Source organism: Homo sapiens, chromosome 9, assembly GCF_000001405.40.
Source record: "Homo sapiens chromosome 9, GRCh38.p14 Primary Assembly".
In the NCBI taxonomy this organism is placed as follows: Eukaryota; Metazoa; Chordata; class Mammalia; order Primates; family Hominidae; genus Homo; species Homo sapiens.
The window spans coordinates 76592596-76610022 of record NC_000009.12 but is presented as its reverse complement, the minus strand read 5'-3'; the positions used below and the strand labels follow the sequence as shown (position 1 = coordinate 76610022).

Genomic DNA, 17427 nt, shown 5'->3' with positions numbered 1-17427 from the left:
TCCATTCAAAATAACCCTCTTTAACTAGACAAAATTATTTCTTCTCAAGATATAACCATTCCAATGATACTTAGACATTAGACACCAATAACTGCTACCCATGATCTCTCTAGCCTTACCTCTAGTGAGAGACCTATAGCCCTTAACACTGGATCACGCTTTCCTTGTGAAACTTCCTCCTTAGACCAGTGAGCTGAATTACCCTGCTTTCCCACAGTATTCAATATCTATTGCTGTATTAACAAATTACAGTTGACTCTCATTTTTCACAGTAGTTATGTCCTATAAAGTCAACAAGAACACTGAGTTAGTGAACACTGATCCATTGCTCCTCGGGCAACCGGTCAATACATAAGTTTGTTCTATGTGTTTTTCAGTTTAAAGATATTGTATTTAATGTATATTGTTCACTTGATAACACTGAATTCACAGCCAACAGCCTGAACATAACTCACGCCTGAATGAAGCTTCTGCAACAGGTATTTTCTCCATAAGGCACATCACAGCCTCCTTGCATTAGGAATACCAAATAGCCCCCACTAGCTTGGGGGCCATTTTAAACAGTAAAATCAACAAAAAGCGCAACAATGCAAAAAACAAAAACACAAATACAGGAAACTACATGGACTGTGAAGAGGATACTTGTTGCTGAGAGCTGAAACAAGAAGACAGAGCCTTACCTTGTGCGACTTCAGCAGGGAGCATGTATCTCAGGCAATTCAAATTTTTCACTGCTCTGCAGATGCCGTAAATGACTGTGAAAGTGCTGGAGTACTGATTTTAGGGATACAAATAAATTTTAGCGAGTAAGCAAATTTGCAAGTGCAAAATCTGTGAATAATGAAGATCTACTGTATTCCAAAACTTACGGGCTTAAAACCACACATTTATGATCTCAGTTTCTGTGGGTCAGAAATCCAGACACACCTTAGCTGGGCCCTCCGCTTCAGGGCCTCTCACAGGTGCAATCAAGGAGTTGGTCCAGGGTTTCTAACAAGACACAATCAAAGTTCATCTGGGACAGAATCTGCTTCCAAGCTCACCCTCATGATCATCAGCAGGATTCAGTTTCTCTGTGATTGCTGGACCAAGCACCTCATTCCTTGCCGGCTGTTAGCTAAAGGCTGCTCTCAGTTCTTTGCCTCATGGGTCCCTCCAGCACAGCAGCTTTTTTTTATTGAAACCAATGAGAAAGACTGCTAGGAACTTACAATATTTTGCAATCTATCACAGAATTGACATCCTCTCACTGTTGCTCTATTCTGTGGGTTAGAAGTAAGTCACAGGCACAGTGGCTCATTCTTCTAATCTCAGCAATTTGGGAGGCTGAGGCAAGTGGATAGCTTGAGCTCAGGAGCTTGAAACCAGCCTGGGAAACATGGCAAGACCCTGTCTCCACAAAAAATATAAAAATTAGCCAGGTGAGATGGCACTTGCCTGTGGTCCCAGCTACTCAGGAGGCTGAGGTAGGAGAATCTCTTGAGCCTGGGAGGTCAAGGCTGCAGTGAGCCATGATTGCCCCACTGCACTCCAGCCTGGGTGACAGAGCAAGACCCTATCTCCAAAAAGTAAAAATTCAAAAAAAAAAAAAAAAATTAAAAGAAGTCAGTCACTAGATCTAGCCACACTCAAAAGGAGAGTAGGACACAGGGTGTAACTATCAGGAGATAGGGATGATTGAAGGCTGCCTGGAAACTGTGCCCACCATACCCCTGGTGCCTTCTGCAAGTTCCTCTTTGAGCTCCTCTGTTTTCTCAAGGTGTTTCTCAATGTTCAGACGGAGGCTTTTCTGCTATTTCTCCATGACTTCAACTAGCACAACTCAGATTATTCAAAGCCTGGTTTCAATCTCAGACTACAAACTCCCACCATCATTTCTCTGTGCCCCCTCCAATCCCTGAGGAGGGGGTTAGTAAATTCTCACTTCCCCGAGCTGATGAGACAATTTCTGTACTACCTCATTGTCTTTGAAATCACACAAACTGGGATTCAGCCTACTGGAAAGGGTCACCTCCTTCCCATTAATCCCAGCAGAAGACCCAGGGCTGCATGTCACTGGACCGGCTTAGTTGCCTGTCTATGAGCCAACCACTGTAACTGAAGGGGTGGATTATGCAGGCTTAGTTGGGCCTGGGTCGTATGTTTACCCTTGGAGAGAGAGAAGGGAATCAGCCCCAACCAAGCCATAGTGACTGAGGTAGGGGAGTGGTGTTTCTGCAAAGGAAAATTAGTTTTCAAAAAGAAGTGGAATTAAATACCAGGCAAGATCAAGAGATTTCCAGTTAGGGCATCTGAGTTGGCCTTGAAGCCTAAGCAGGCTCTCAGCGGGGCACACAGGTGAGGTGTAGAGGGCACGGTAGGGCCCGAGAAAAACCAGCTCCAGAACCAGCCAGCCCTCACTTTGCATGGTGGAGCCACTCTTGAGGAACAATGGAATGGCCAATGAGTTCTGAAGCAAAAATAGCCTCATCCCAATCCCCCACCTTCAATAGGTGGGGATATCTTATAAATGAAAAATATAACCCAGGAAAACACTTTCTCCAAACCGAGAATAGGGAAAAGGTTGATCCATTCACCTGAAGTTTGGAGAACATGATACCAGGAAAGGAGCATTGATCAAGCAGGAAAGAAAATGAACAATAAATTCAGCCCTCGATAATATTTACTTTCCTTATAGTCCAGGTACAGCTTTCATCCTCCCTTACCTTTTCTGTTCTCTTCAGTGAAAAATGATCTAAGAAATCAAGAGTAACTGTCATAGCAGTATTTGCTGAAGAAATATCTTTTGACAACTAGAATGACTTTGAAATTGAATATCACTTAGGATATAAGTAAAGGAAGTACGTAAAGAAACTCTTGCTACGTTTCTAATTTTAATTTTTCCTCAAAATATGTATTCAAAAATTGTAGGCCAGGCACGGTGGTTCACACCTGTAATTCCAACATTTTGGGTGGCTGATGCAGGAGGAACACTTGAGCTCAGGAGTTCAAGACCAGCCTGGGCAAGATGGTGAGACCTTGTCTCTACAAAAAAATTTAAAAATTAGCTAGGCATGGTGGCACGCACCTGTAGTCCCAGCTACTTGAGAGGCTGAGGCAGGAGGATGGCTTGAGCCCAGGAGGTCGGGGTTGTAGTGAGCCATGATTGCACCACTGCACTCCAGCCTAGGCAACAAAAGAGCAAAACTCTGTCTCAGAAAAAATAACAACAACAGCAAAATTTTAAATGTAACAAGGGTTTGTTGTAAAAATTTCAGACAAAGATGTATGTAAAGGAAAGTCTCCTTGTATCATTCATTTATTGTTGTGTTACAAATAACCCCAAAACTGAGTGGCTTAAAACAGTACCATTCATTTATTTTGCTCACTAATCTACAATTTGGGCAGGAATCAGAAGGAACAGCTCATCTCAATTCCAGATAGCATCTGCCAGGGCAGCTTGGCTGGGGGCTGGAGGAACCACTTTCAAGAAGTCTGGCTAACCTGGATGGCAAGTTGTTTAAAATGTTAGCTAAATTTAAAGCTATGATATCCCTGAAGATACTGAGAGGAAGATAGCTTCCTCTCAATTGTTGAAATACAATTTTCAAAAAGTTAAAAACTTAGCCAGGCATGGTGGAGCCCCCTGTAATTCTAGCTACTTGGGAGGCTGAGGCAGGAGGATCGCTTGAGGCGCAGGAGGTCAGGGTTGCAGTGAGCTGTGATCATGCCACTTCACCGTAGCCTGAGCAACAAAGTGAGACCTTGTCTCAGAAAAAAGAAAGTTAAAAACATGACTTTCACACAAAGTGAACAGATGTTAAAGATTTGTTTAACTCATTAATTAATTATGTTAAATAAGATGTTAAGACTGGTCAAAAGAACAGAAAACAGGAGACGTAACATCAGGAATGTTCAAATGAATTACCTAATAGATGAAAATTTGAGTACTATCCAATCGAGCAATAAAATGTCATCTTTGGAGTTATCATTTCTACCAGTGGAAATCAACTATACCTCTACTCAACAATACTCAATCCTGGAGAGATTACCTCCATTCTTCAGTCTCTGTCCATGTACAGATGAAGTTGTCCCCATAGAAAGTCCTATTGTCCCAGATGGGTATGTAAGTCAGGCCTGGTCCAAAAAAGCATCCCATTCTCCCAGTGACAGACTCAGAGATGGATATGTGACCTGAAAGACACAATACGATTTGGCAGGGACTTTTGTGAGAGCCACCACATCTTTAGGGGCACTTGAATCTGGAAAGTTTTAGGTCTGAACTTGCTGGGATGCATCCTGCTACCACAAGAAGCCTGAAAATGAGGAAGCATACAATAGAGATGAACGGGGGGGAAACAGCATCCTGAAGGCTTTAACTGAGCCCCTGAATCAACGGTGCAGCCTGATTGCAGTCTTAACTCCAGACTTGTCTATTATATTAGTCAATATATTTCCTTCCTTCTCGTTTGCTAGTTTAAGCCAGGTAAGGTGATTCCAAATGACCCCTCACAATACAGGGGGTTCTCCAGCCCTGGTTTCTTCTTCTGTGTTAGCTCATTAAACATATATTCACTTCTCTGGGTTGCAGTTCCTCTTTCTGTAAAAAGAATAAGCGATACCTACTACAAAGAGTGATAAAGATGAAGTAAGTGATAAATATAAGTATAATATACCTTCATAATACCATGATAAAAGAGATGTCTATGTGATGCTTAATTTTTCTAAATTAGATTATATCTGGTTCTAACCTCCTGCTATGGTCTGCATGTTGGTGTTCCCCTAGAATTCATGTGTTAGAACCTAAGACCCAGTGTGATGGTATTAAGAGTGAGTCTTTTAGGGATGATTAAATCATTAGGACTCCATCCTCATGGCTGTGGTTAAACTCTTATAAAAATGCTAAAGGGGGCCGGGTGCGATGGCTTATGCCTGTAATCCCAGCACAGCGCTTTGGGAGACCAAGGCAGGAGGAATACTTGAGCCCAGGAGTCCAAGACCAGCCTGGGCAACACAGAGGGACCCTGTCTCTTTTTAATTTTTTTTTTTAAGTGCTGGAGGGGCCAAACACGGTGGCTCATGCCTGTAATCCCAGCATTTTGGGAGGTCAAAGCAGGAAAAGTGCTTGAGGCCAGGGGTTTGAGACCAGCCTGGACAAAATAGGGAGATGTTGTCTCTATAAAAAATTTTATAAATTTTATAAACTAGCCAGATGTAGTGGCTCATGCCTGCAGTCCCAGCAACTCAGGAGGCTAAGATGGGAGGATTGCTTGAGCCTGGGAGGTTGAGGCTGCAGTGAGTTGTGATCGTGCCACTGCAGTCCAGCCTGGGCAACAGAGTGAGACCCTCTCTAAAAACAATAAATAAATAAATAAAGTGCTGGAGAAAGCTAGCTGGGCTATTTTGCTCTTCTGCCTTGTGCCATGTGAGGACACAACAAGAAGGCCCTCACCAGTCACTGAATGTCAGTACCTTAATCTTGGACTTTCCAGCCTCTCAAACTATGAGAAATAAATTTCTATTCTTTGTAAATTATCCACTGTAGTAATTTTTTTCTAGCAGCACAAAAAGACTAAGATATCCCCATTTACTAGGATGAGAAGACTCCCAATATCAGTCACTATGTGGGCTCTTTTACTCTTTAGTGGTGAAATCTGTCACAAATTGCCTAGAAAATGTTGTTTGATCTTTGGCACATGTTTGCTATGGGGATGTTCATTGTCCAAGACCCTGTGGTCCATTCAAAGGCAGGTGGCTCTGCAGGCTTTTTGACCTTTAGGGTATCTGGTAAGTTCTATGTAGTTACTGAGACCATGGTGTTTGATGTTCATTGCCCCCAGCAAACGTGTTTACGTCATCAAAAGTTCCTGCTGCCACATAGGATACTTCCTGATAGGAAATTGATGCTTGTGGACTTTCCTTCCACAGCTCCTCAAGTCCTTGCCTCATTGCTAACCTTGGGCAACTCCTTGTCTTTCAACTCAATCTCCAGACCCCATACCTTCCAAGAAACACCCTGCCGAATTCACCTTCCTCACAGGGGCCTAGATAGAGCTTTATAACAGATGTCTTGCAACTTTGTTTGGGGCTGGGAACCACACATTAAAAAAAAAAATTAATAACCCAGAATAGCAACCTTCAAGAGGACCCTCAGTGAGCTCCACCTCCTGGTATTCATGCCTTTGTGTAATCCCCTTCTTTGAGTGTGGGTTGGACCTAGTGACTCACTTCTAACCAACAGAACACAGCAAAAGTGATGAAATGTCACTCTCAAAATTAGCTTATAAAACTACAGTGACTTCAATCTTGTTTCCCCTCTCTCTTTTCCTCCCTCACTGCTCTGAGGGAAGCCAGCTGCCATAATTGTGAGCTGCCCAACAAAGAATCCCATGTGGCAAGGAACTGATATTTAGGACAACAGCCAGAGAGTACCTGAGGCTTGCCAAAAGCCATGTGAGTGAGTTTGGAAGCAGATGGATCCTCCTCAAGATATTCCTTGTGATGACTGGAACCATAGCCAAACTTGAGTCCAGGCTTACAAGAGACCCTGAGCCAACTAAGCAGCTGATGCCTGACTCACAGAAACTGTGAGATAATAAGTATTTCTTGTTTTAAGCCACTAAGATTTGGAATAATTTGTTATGCAGCAACAGATAACTAATACATGGCCTCTAAGATTGGCAGCCCAGAATTTCCTGGAAACGAGGATAAAATTACCTTTTCCTCCTTTTGAAATCTTTTTTGGCAGGGAGTAGAAAACAGCACTAAATAGCTTGGTAAATTATCCTGTGACAAATGAACATTACCTGAAGCCATGTAAGTGGATAGAACAGAAATCCCTGCAGAGGGAAATTACCACCTCCTGTCACAGTTCAAACTCTGCCATGGTGAAGCATGGCCATGCCCCTGAGCACCTGATAATCAGCACCATCCCAATCCCTCCTACAGAATAAAGGAGCAGAGCCCAGTGCTCAGAGGAGAGATGGGGATGCAGCTGCCACAAGTCCTTAAACTGCCCCTTGGCCTCCCAAAAGAAACTCAAACCTGTAAGTGTGGCCCCAAGAAAATAACAAGCTAATTTCAGCTTAGGCTTCCAGGGATACTGGAATTTCTAGATGAAAGTGTTCAAAAGGCTAGAACTCTCTCCTGGTCAGGCGCAGTGGCTCAAGCCTGTAATCCTGGCACTTTGGGAGGCTAAGGCAGATGGATCACTTGAGCTCAGGCCTGGGCAACATGGTGAAACCTCATCTGTACATAAAATACAAAAGTTAGCCAGTTGTGATGGTGTGTGCCTGTAGTCCCAGCTACTCAGGAGTTTGAGGTGGAAGGAACACCTGAACCCTGGAGGCAGAGGTTGCAGTGAGCCAAGATCATGCCACTGCACTCCAGCCTGGGCAACAGAGTGAGACCCTGTCTCAATAATAATAATAATTATATAATGGAAAAAAAAAGGCTAGAGCTCCTGCTGTCATGGGACCCTGCCCTAAACCTGGAGATTCTGATGCAGTTCTCAGAATTAAGCCTGTCATGAAGGCTCCCCCAGGAATATGGGCCCCTTATACAGCATCTGATGCCAGAAAATAATCTGTGGTTGGTGAAGCTGGGCTCTGGAGAGACACTGGGCCAATTGCCATCCCCAAATTGTCAGCTCATTCATGCACAGTGTTTCCCTGACATTAAGTATAGGGTGTCAGGCTTCGTGCTGTACAATCCCAGAGAATGCTGTTGCTGTTGTGTTCAATGTCAATGACACCTGCTGAGACACAACTTTGTACAAGATGAATGGCAGAGTCTGGGGTCATACCACACTGTCACCCTGAGTGTGGGACCCACACATTTGAGAATGTTTTCTGGACAAAAATATACTCATTTTCCCACCATTATTCAGCCAATGAGTTTTTCAACTTTTATGAGTCCTCCTGTTTGGCCATATGGACAAGCTTCGGGGAAAGGTAGGGAAGCACAGTGCTAAAGCACCTCTCTGGGACACTTCCCCATCTCTATTTGGGACAGGCCTTGTATTTGCTCCAGTGAGTACGGGAATCTGGTCCCATTATGACCATGGAGATAAGCAAAGGCATGGTACCCAGCAATAACTTCCTAAAGGGCTCCAGGCCAGTCTCTGAGGTGTTCGCCTCACCTTCATGAAAAAGATCAACAGCTTAGGTGTCACATCAGCCAAGGTCTCCAGTTCTGGCTTTTTGCCTCCTGTGTGAGTGACTGAATATCTCTTTCTTACATTTTTTTTTTGAGATGGGGTCTTGCTATGTTGCCCAGGCTGATCTCGAACTCCTGGCCTCAAGCGATCCTCCTGCCTCAGCCTCCCACAGTGCTGGGATTACAAATGTGAGCCACAACACCCAGGCGAGACTGAATATCTCTAAACTTCAATTTGGAAAAGTTAAATTAAATGATGGGGGAGACTTCTGGTTTCCAGTCAGGTGCGTAGGAAGCTTGGAAGTTGTCTCTTCTGTCCACCCAGCAAGCTGAAAACTAACAATTCTTCTTATATCCATCAGAGAACTGAGGCCATAGAGCAAACAGCTGTCCCCCAAACTGAAGAGACTGACATGCAGATAGAGAGAATCACAACTTACCAGAGCAGAAGCCCAGGAGCAGTAACTTCCAAAGGAACGAGCATCCTATCTGGAAAACCTGAACTGCCACTAACGAATGGCTGGAGGCTCAGCGTGGACAAGGCTGAGAGAATTAAAAATTCAGGGAGAGGGCTGTTGTAGGGCAAACCCCACACTTTCTTGAGTTTTAACTCCAGGAGTGCCGCTACATTGTAAGATCAGAGAAAAATTCCCAAGTGATTCCCCCATGGGGTGGGGGAAAGTAGCCATTTAAAAAGTTGCCCAGAACATTCTGTTTTTTAATAACAATGCCTGTCCTCAAGAGAAACTGGAGCCTAGGTTGACCTGGGTGAAGGAAAATACCCAACTGCAGTGGGCTCCAGCCTTCCCATCTCACCTGAGAGGGAAAAACAAAACAAAACTGAGAGGCACTGGTGAAGGTGCCAGCCGAGGGGCACAGGCTCACTACAAGTCTGAGACCTATTTACAGGACTGTAGAACACTTCCTTTCCCCACACATTTTCTACCACATTAATAGGGCTGGTGTTTAATAACAGGGGAAAACAATGGGAAGAACTATTTAATAAGTCTCTAGAGAATATTTAAGGCCAGGTGCGGTGGCTCATGCCTGTAATGCCAGCACTTTGGGAGACTGAGGTGGGCAGATTGTCTGAGGTCAGGGGTTCAAGACCAGCTTGGCCAACATGGCAAAACCCCATCTCTACTTAAAATACAAAAAAAAAAAAAATTATCTGGGCATGATGGTGCACACCTGTAGTCCCAGCTACTCTGGAGGCTGAGGCAGGAGAATCGCTTGAACTTGGGAGTTGGAGGTTGCAGTGAGCCGAGATCGCACCACTGCAGTTCAGCCTGGGAGACAGAGCAAAATTCTGTCTCAAGGAAAAAAAAAAAAAAAGTGACAATTTAAGAGCCCTTTAGAGAAACTCAAAGACAACAGGGAGACAAAAACAAGCACATCAGATGAAAGTTTAACTTTCAACACCTACTGCTACAGCAAACACAGCCAAAGTCCTTGCCAGAAAAACATAAAACCTCATACCAAAGGCCTGTTTATAGCAGTTTCTTTTACCAAGGATATCATGTCCAGCTTTCAACAAAAAAATCACAAGGCATATGAAAAGACAAATAAAGTGACAGATCTGTGGTATTATTGAATAGACTATTAAAAGCATAAATTAATCTTCCCAGACACTAGCCTTTGTTTGCTCTCTAAGCCTGCCCCACTCGATAGGAGCTAAAGGCTGCTTTTCTAGGACCATCAACCAGGAGCTAGGGCACGTGGACAGCTTGAGGAGAGCCAGGAGGAGCTACACTGCCCTAACTCCTCCACTACTCTGAGTGAAAAACAGTGTTAATAAATCAAGTGGCTCCAGTGGCTTCTTCATTACACCTTCATTACATACAGGTGTTTTCTTAAGAATACCAGAGATGGATAGATAGGTAAATAGATAGATATAGAGATCAGAAATATAGAGCTATAGGTATATAAGAATGCATATACATTTAACTAAGGCTATGATTGGTATAAAGATTTTCTGATATATAGAAACTATTCATAAGTCTGAGAATTTTAGGTTAAATTCCTGTATCATTTTTACTTAAAAGAGAGGAAAAACATTATCTCTCTGGTCACATCACAGTGATAACTACTCAAAAATAATTGTTTAGGCCAGGCGCGGTGACTCACGCCTGTAATCCCAGCACTTTGGGAGGCTGAGGTAGGCGGATCACCTGAGGTCGGGAGTTCGAGACCAGCCTGACAAACATGGAGAAACCCCATCTCTACTAAGAATACAAAATTAGCCATGCTTGGTGGTGCACGCCTGTAATCCCAGCTGAGGCAGGAGAATCACTTGAACCCGGGAGGTGGAGGTTGCAGTGAGCCGAGATCGTGCCATTGCACTCCAGCCTGGGCAACAAGAGTGAAACTCCATCTCAAATAATAATGATGATGATTATAATAATAATAATAGTTTAACTTGTGTGACTTTTGCTTGGCACTTTGGTGATAAACAGTTTTTATTCATTCCACTAATATTATTGAGTCTGCTTAATGTGTTTATAATCCTAAACTAAGTTTTCATTATTGTTCTAAGCAAAATACCATGGTGCAGACAGAATACATTGTTTTTGGCCCCTGGAAACTTAGTATTTAGAAGGAGAGAAAATATATAAGTACAACATCCCTCAATGGCAGGACAGTGTATGGTTAAGGGCTAGACCAAGTTGTTTAGTCCCAGCTCTGCCACTAACAAGACATGTGATCTTGAGCAAGCTCCTTCCTTATTCCCCATGGGGCCTCGTTTCCTTATGTTTATATAAAATGAGAGCTAAGCTATTATCTCAAAGGGCCCGGCTAGTCCTAAAAGAAGAAATGTCTATTAACAGAGACAACAGATCTATCAGAGCAGTCATAAGAAGTCAAGAAAATGTCTAGACTGTCTACCGATCGCTATTCTACCACTACCTTGCCCATCGTGGTTTGTTAGGTTGGGATTAACCCACTTTCAGCAAGAAGATGTCCTAAATGGATCAACAGAATCACTTTCTTCTCATCAGAGTGATTAGTTTAGGTAATCTCAAATTTAGACTAATCAACCTCTAACATGACTTTAGCCACTAGGATTGATTCGGGGGTCAGCCAATCAGACCAAAGATGTGGCTTATGCTGGGGATTCTGACATGCAGACGTTCTCCCTCACTCTCAATAACGTGAAAGACTGAACATGCTGCAGTCATTTATAAGTAAATTCTGGTAAGACACTGATGGGGAAACAGAGCAGAGCTAGGATCGGACGGACCCCCTGGAAGTCCCACAAAATTCATATAGCTAATTCTTGAAGGGTTTGTTTGATTTGGATAGACTAGAGGAGAAGGAAGAATACTAACAGTAGATAATAACAGGAATCTGGAGGGAATGTGCAGTATCTTAACAATGGCACTTTGAAATTCTTCTTCTTCTTCTTACTATTATTATTATTATTATTATTATTATTATTTTGAGACCAAGTCCCACTCTGTCGCCCAGGCTGGAATATCTCAGCTCACTGCAACCTCTATCTCCTGGGTTCAAGCCTTTCTCCTGCCTCAGCCTCCTGAGCAGCTGGGATTACAGGCATCCACCACCACGCCCGGTTAATCCTTGTCCTTTTAGTAGAGATGGGGTCTCACCATGTTGGCCAGGCTGGTCTCGAGCTCCTGACTTCAGGTGATCCACTCACCTCGGCCTCCCAAAGTGCTGGGATTACAGGCATGAGCCACTGCACCCGGTCTGAATCTTTCCTTTGCTTGGCTAAAGCAGATAATTTGTATTCATCCAATATAAAACATTGGCATAATAATAATACTGATTCTGTGGTGGAGTTGGCTATGCAGGGATGGGTTTGGGATAGAGATATGACATATTCCATTTCTCAAAGAGCTTATATCTTGGCAGAGGGACCAAAAGGTAAACGACCAACAGTAGGGGAGAGATGTAGCCCTCGTTCACCTCAGATCTGCAGACGGGAAGAAAAATTTAAAGAATAGAGTGTCTTTTGAATGTCTGCCTGGGAGGAATTATCATCCACATTGGATAGATAAAGAGATTAAAGTATGTGAGCAAAAATGTCACATACCAAGCTAGACAATTATTATTACTGATAAGCCAGAAAGATAATGCTTTGCCTTTCTTGTACATATTCCTTTACTGAATGGACTATAAAAAGCACCAATTAATCTTCTCAGACTCTAGTCTTTGTTTGCTCTCTAAGCCTGCCCCACTCGATAGGAACTAGAGGCTGCTTTTCTAGGACCATCAACCAGGAACTAGGGTGGGTGGACAGCTTGAGGGGGGCCAGGAGGAGCTACACTGCCCTAACTCCTCCACTCCTCTGAGCGAAAAACAGTGTTCATACGTCATATTATATAAGATTTCAAAAACAACTAGCAGGCAGTACAATCTGCAGTTGAATCCAGGTCCATCTGGCTTTAAAACCTGGCTCAAGACTCCCACTTTTTAAAATGTGGTCTGTGCAACCTATAGAATGGGAGAAAAAATTTGCAAACTACTCGTCTGACAGGGGATTAATAGCCAGAATATATAAGGAACTTAAAAATCTCAACACAAAAGAAAAACAACCAAGTAATCCAATTAAAAAATGGATGAATGATCTGAACAGACACTTCTCAAAAGAAGATATACAAATGGTCAACAAATATATTTTTTAATGCTCAACATCATTAATCATCAGGGAAATGCAAATCAAAACCATAATAAGGTATGATCTCTCTCTAGTTAGGACGGCTATTACCAAAAAGACAAAAAATAATAATATGTACAATTATTATTTGACAATTTAAAAAATATAATAACAGCTGAGCGTGGTGGTTCACACCTGTAATCCCAGCACTTTGGGAGGCCAAGGCAGGCAGATCATGAGGTCAGGAGTTCGAGACTAGCCTGGCCAGCATGGTGAAACCCCGTCTCTACTACAAATACAAAAAATTAGCTGGGCGTGGTAGCACACGCCTGTAGTCCCAGCTACGCTGGAGGCTGAGGCAGGATAATGGCTTGAACCCAGCAGGCGGAAGTTGCAGTGAGCTAAGATTGCGCCACTGCACTCCAGTCTGGGCAAGGAAGCTAGACTCCATCTCAAACAACAATAACAACAACAACAACAATAAAAAATAATTTTTTTAAAAAAAGTGTGGTCTGTGAATTGGCAGCATCAGCATCAACTGGGAGCATGGCTGGCGACATAATCTGTGTGGCCTGATGCAAAATAAAAATATGGGCACCTGTTCAAAAAGCAGGGGAAAGTGCCACTACATTTGCAAACATGTTAAGCTTCTCTCTTTCTTCCACAGTCTCTCAACTTGTCATGGTGTTTTATATTTGCCATTTAATGTCATTCTTTTTTTTTTTTAAGACTGGGTTTCGCTCGTGTTGCCCAGGCTGGAGTGCAGTGGTGCAATCTTGGCTCACTGCAGCCTCTGCTTCTTGGGTTCAAACAATTTTCCCACCTCAGCCTCCCGAATAGCTGGGATTACAGGGGTGTGCCACCATGCCCCGCAAAAGTTTGCATGTTTAGTAGAGACGGGGTTTCGCCACGTTGGTCAGGCTGGTCGCGAACTTCTGACCTCCGGTGACTCACCCACCTCAGCCTCCCAAAGCGTTAGGATTACAGGCGTGAGCTACCGTGCCCGGCCCATTTAATGTCATTCTAACTAAAAAAACATTTTTAATGACTAACATGGATTTACCGTTCATCGTTTTTATCAAGCAATGCCAGTTTTAAATGCAAATATCTAAGCATTTAATTCCTAAGGTGGAATCATTGAAATAACATAACTTGTATTTTGTAACTTGTACACACAGGTGTATTTTGTTCTTACCAGAACAGTGGAAACACTAAATAAAGGCACTCAACTGTTTTTGTTTTACTTCTTAACAAGCACACATTCTACTCACAGTACCTTCCACTTCCTGAAGGATAGGGAAGGACTGAAAGGAAAAAGAACTTTCCCTTCTCTTCTATGTCATCATTTTAGCATCCGTGGTTGGCTAATATAGGGAAGTAACCCAGGAGGGATATGACAGGGTTTCTTGGTCATTCATATTTCTTAGAACATCACTGCCTTCCTTCTGTGTTCATAGCAAGTTCTGGTACCAATGGCAAGCATGGCCTCTCCAGGCTGTCAGTGACTCAAACCTTACCAAGTCACAGCCTTAACACACCGCTTAGGACTTGCTGAACTCCCACCAAAATTTTGTACTCATGGGACATCTCAAGTACTATATGCAAATGGAACGCAAAAGACTGTGGCCACGCATATTCCTACTGCACTGCGTGGATCTCTTCTAGTCTCCGGCTGGCTGGATTGCCCCATCAGACTTACAAAATACAAGTTCAAATTTAAAAATCATTTAAAATTTTAAGGCGAAAATAGTGTGTTAAAACCAAGTTCAGAGCCTGCATAGGTTGCAGCTTAGGAGCTGGCTTTGCTTAGGAGCTTGATAAAAATGCAGGTTCTCAGTGCCGCCCACCCTCAGCCCCACCCCCACCCCCACCCCCAGACCTGTTGAATCAGAATTTGCATCTTAAGATTCCCAGGTCGGTTGTTTTTGGGGCTGTTGAAGTTCAGGAAGCTCTGGTCTGGTCTAGACCACTGAAGATTCTATCTCCCAGGCTAGACGCTGACTTTAACCCCTGGGAGGCAAGGGACAACTTTCTCTGATCTGCCCCACACTCTCTCTTCCCTCCTCTGGGTCCTACCTGCAGCTCCCCAGGATGTTATCAACTGGGTTGCAGGCTGGCTTTTCTAACAACAGATTTATGAGGCTCTGTTCAAATCTCAGGTTTCATCTGCCTTCCAACCATCCAAGCCCTTGGTATAATCATGAATCCCTGTGGCAAGGAAGAGACCACAAAGAGCATCTAATAGGAGCCTTCCTTTTAAAGACCCATTTTAAGGATATGGGCCAGAGGCCGAGCCCCAAAAAGATGAAAGTCTTGTTAATTTACATGTCAATGTGTAGCTGAGATGCCTTTATTATTGAGAATTCTAAAGTGAGAATCTTGTTCCCCCTCCCCCCGTTTGTTATTTAATTCCACTTATTTCCCTACTTTTGCTAGCTTTAAAATTACCCAGAGTGGATGAGGATGCAGTGTAACCTTTTTTCTGTCTCTCTTTGAGACTTTTTATGATGAAATGTTAGAAACATATTAATAATATGTCCCCCAAAATCTTTAAAAGAAGATCAAAGGAGGAGAAAATAGAGTTGAAAATTTAATTCACTTTGGCATTCAAGGGGTGTCTAAGAATAGGCCGGGCACGGTGGCTCACACCTGGCCTTTGGCAGGCAGATTGCTTGCAGCCAGGAGCTCAAGACCAGCAGACCAGCTTGGGCAACATAGTGAGACCCTGTCTCTACAAAAAATACAAAAATTAGCTGGATGTGGTGGCACACACCTGTAGTCTCAGCTACTCAGGAGGCTGAGGTGGGAGGATCACTTAAGCCTGGGAGGTTAAGGCTGCAGTGAGCCATGATGGTGTCACTGTGTCAGAAGTGTGTGAACCAGAGCAACTCCATCTTGAATAGGAGCTAGGTAAAATGAGACTGAGATCTAGTGGGCTGCATTCCCAGAGAGTTAAAGCATTCTATTTCACAGGATGAGATAGGAGGTTGGCACAAGATACAGGTCATAAAGACCTTGCTGATAAAACAGGTTGCAGTAAAGAAGCTGGCTAAATTCCACCAAAACCAAGACAGTCACTAGAATGACCTCTGGCTGTCCTCACTGCTACACTCCCACCAGCATCCTGACAGTTTACAAATGCCATGGCAACGTCAGGAAGTTACCCTATATGATCTAAAAAGGGAGGCAAGAATAATCCACCCCTTGTTTAGCCTATCGTCAGGAAATAACTGTAAAAATGGGTAACCAGCAGTCTTCTGGGCTTCTATGTCTATGGAATAGCCATTCTTTTTCTTTTTTTTTTTCTTTTTCTTTTTTTTTTTTTTTGAGATGGAGTCTCGCTCTGTCACCCAGGCTGGAGTGCAGTGGCGCAATCTCAGCTCACTGCAACCTCCACCTCCCGGGTTCAAGGGATTCTCCTGCCTCAGCCTCCCAAGTAGCTGGGATTACAGGCACGTGCCACCACGCCTGGCTAATTTTTGAATTTTTAGTACAGATGGGGTTTTACCATATTGACCAGGCTGGTCTCGAACTCCTGACCTCGTGATCCGCTGCCTCAGCCTCCCAAAGTGCTGGGATTACAGGCATGAGCCACTGCGCCCGGCCGGAGTAGGCATTCTTTTATTCCTTTACTTTCCTCATAAACTTGCTTTCACTTTATCGACTCACCCTGAGTTCTGTCTTGAGCGAGATCCAAGAACCCTCTATTGGGGTCTGGATCGGGACCCCTTTCCTGTAACAACCACACTCCAGCCTGGGTGATAGAGTGCGACCCTCTGAAAAAAAAAAAAAAAAAAAAAAAAAGAAGAAGAAGAAGTAGTTTTCAAGAAGAGTAAGTTAAGAAAGAAATTCAGTCAAAATTAGTGTTAAATAAAATGTACAGGAGGCCACTGGTTTGAAATGAGCTCCTGCACTAGTCCCAACAGATCAAACCAAAATAGAGTCACTCATGCTAATGTTCCATACCACCAAGCCAAAACTAAGTTGCTTACCTGAACTTCCAATAAATAGGAGAGAGAGAGAGAGAGATAACAGCCAAATCCCCAAACAGGCCAGTCTCAATGAGCATGATGAGGAAATCCCCTCTGCCTTGATCTTTATAATGAAGGTAACTTTGAAACGACTAATCCACCGGTTCTCTGTTTCTGCTTTCCTCAGCTCCTTTCTGTTTGTAAAACCAACCTCCTCTTCCCAGCTCATCACAACATTCTACTTTATAGAATGAGGCAGATTCTGAATTGCCTGATTCTAGAATCACAAATAAAAGCCAATTAAGATCTTTAAACTAAACTTGTTGTAATTTTGTTTGATGACATTAGGAACTTTCACCTTCTTGTTTCTCTCTCAGCCTGAGGCCTGAAATAGAATCACCCCTCAGCTAAAATGGAATTGCCCCTCAGCATGTGAGCAAACTTTTACTGCACCGCTAAGCTGCAAGCCAATAGAGAATTTTCTTGCACAATAGTGGCTCCCCTCCTTCTGTGAGGGAGAGCATTTAAAAAAGCAAGAGAAAAGAAAGGAAAAAGAGAAGGAAAGAGAAGCAAAGAAAAGAGAACGTTTTCAAAAGATGCGTGCTGCCCTTTTGATGAGGATGGCCTCCTTTTCCTCTTGACTGCCAGCCCCACCAGAAAACATTCTCCCAAATGGTCAAGACTGTCGGAAGCCAATGT

The 17427-nt window shown here is 43.3% G+C and overlaps 1 long non-coding RNA gene across 13 annotated transcripts in view; it reads right to left on the bottom strand.

Moving 5' to 3' along the window:
• LOC105376095 (uncharacterized) overlaps window positions 1-17115 on the bottom strand; it is an 84799-nt gene extending 67684 nt beyond the window's left edge. For 12 of the 13 annotated variants that reach the window (XR_007061588.1, XR_007061590.1, XR_007061595.1 and 9 more), the window contains exon 1: window positions 681-1119. This is a non-coding gene — a long non-coding RNA (uncharacterized LOC105376095). Of the gene's footprint in view, window positions 1-680; window positions 1120-3067; window positions 3166-4031; window positions 4174-16749 lie in introns of those variants that run through there. The other variant, XR_007061586.1, reaches the window with a different exon arrangement.
• Between the last annotated feature and the right edge of the window lie 312 nt (window positions 17116-17427).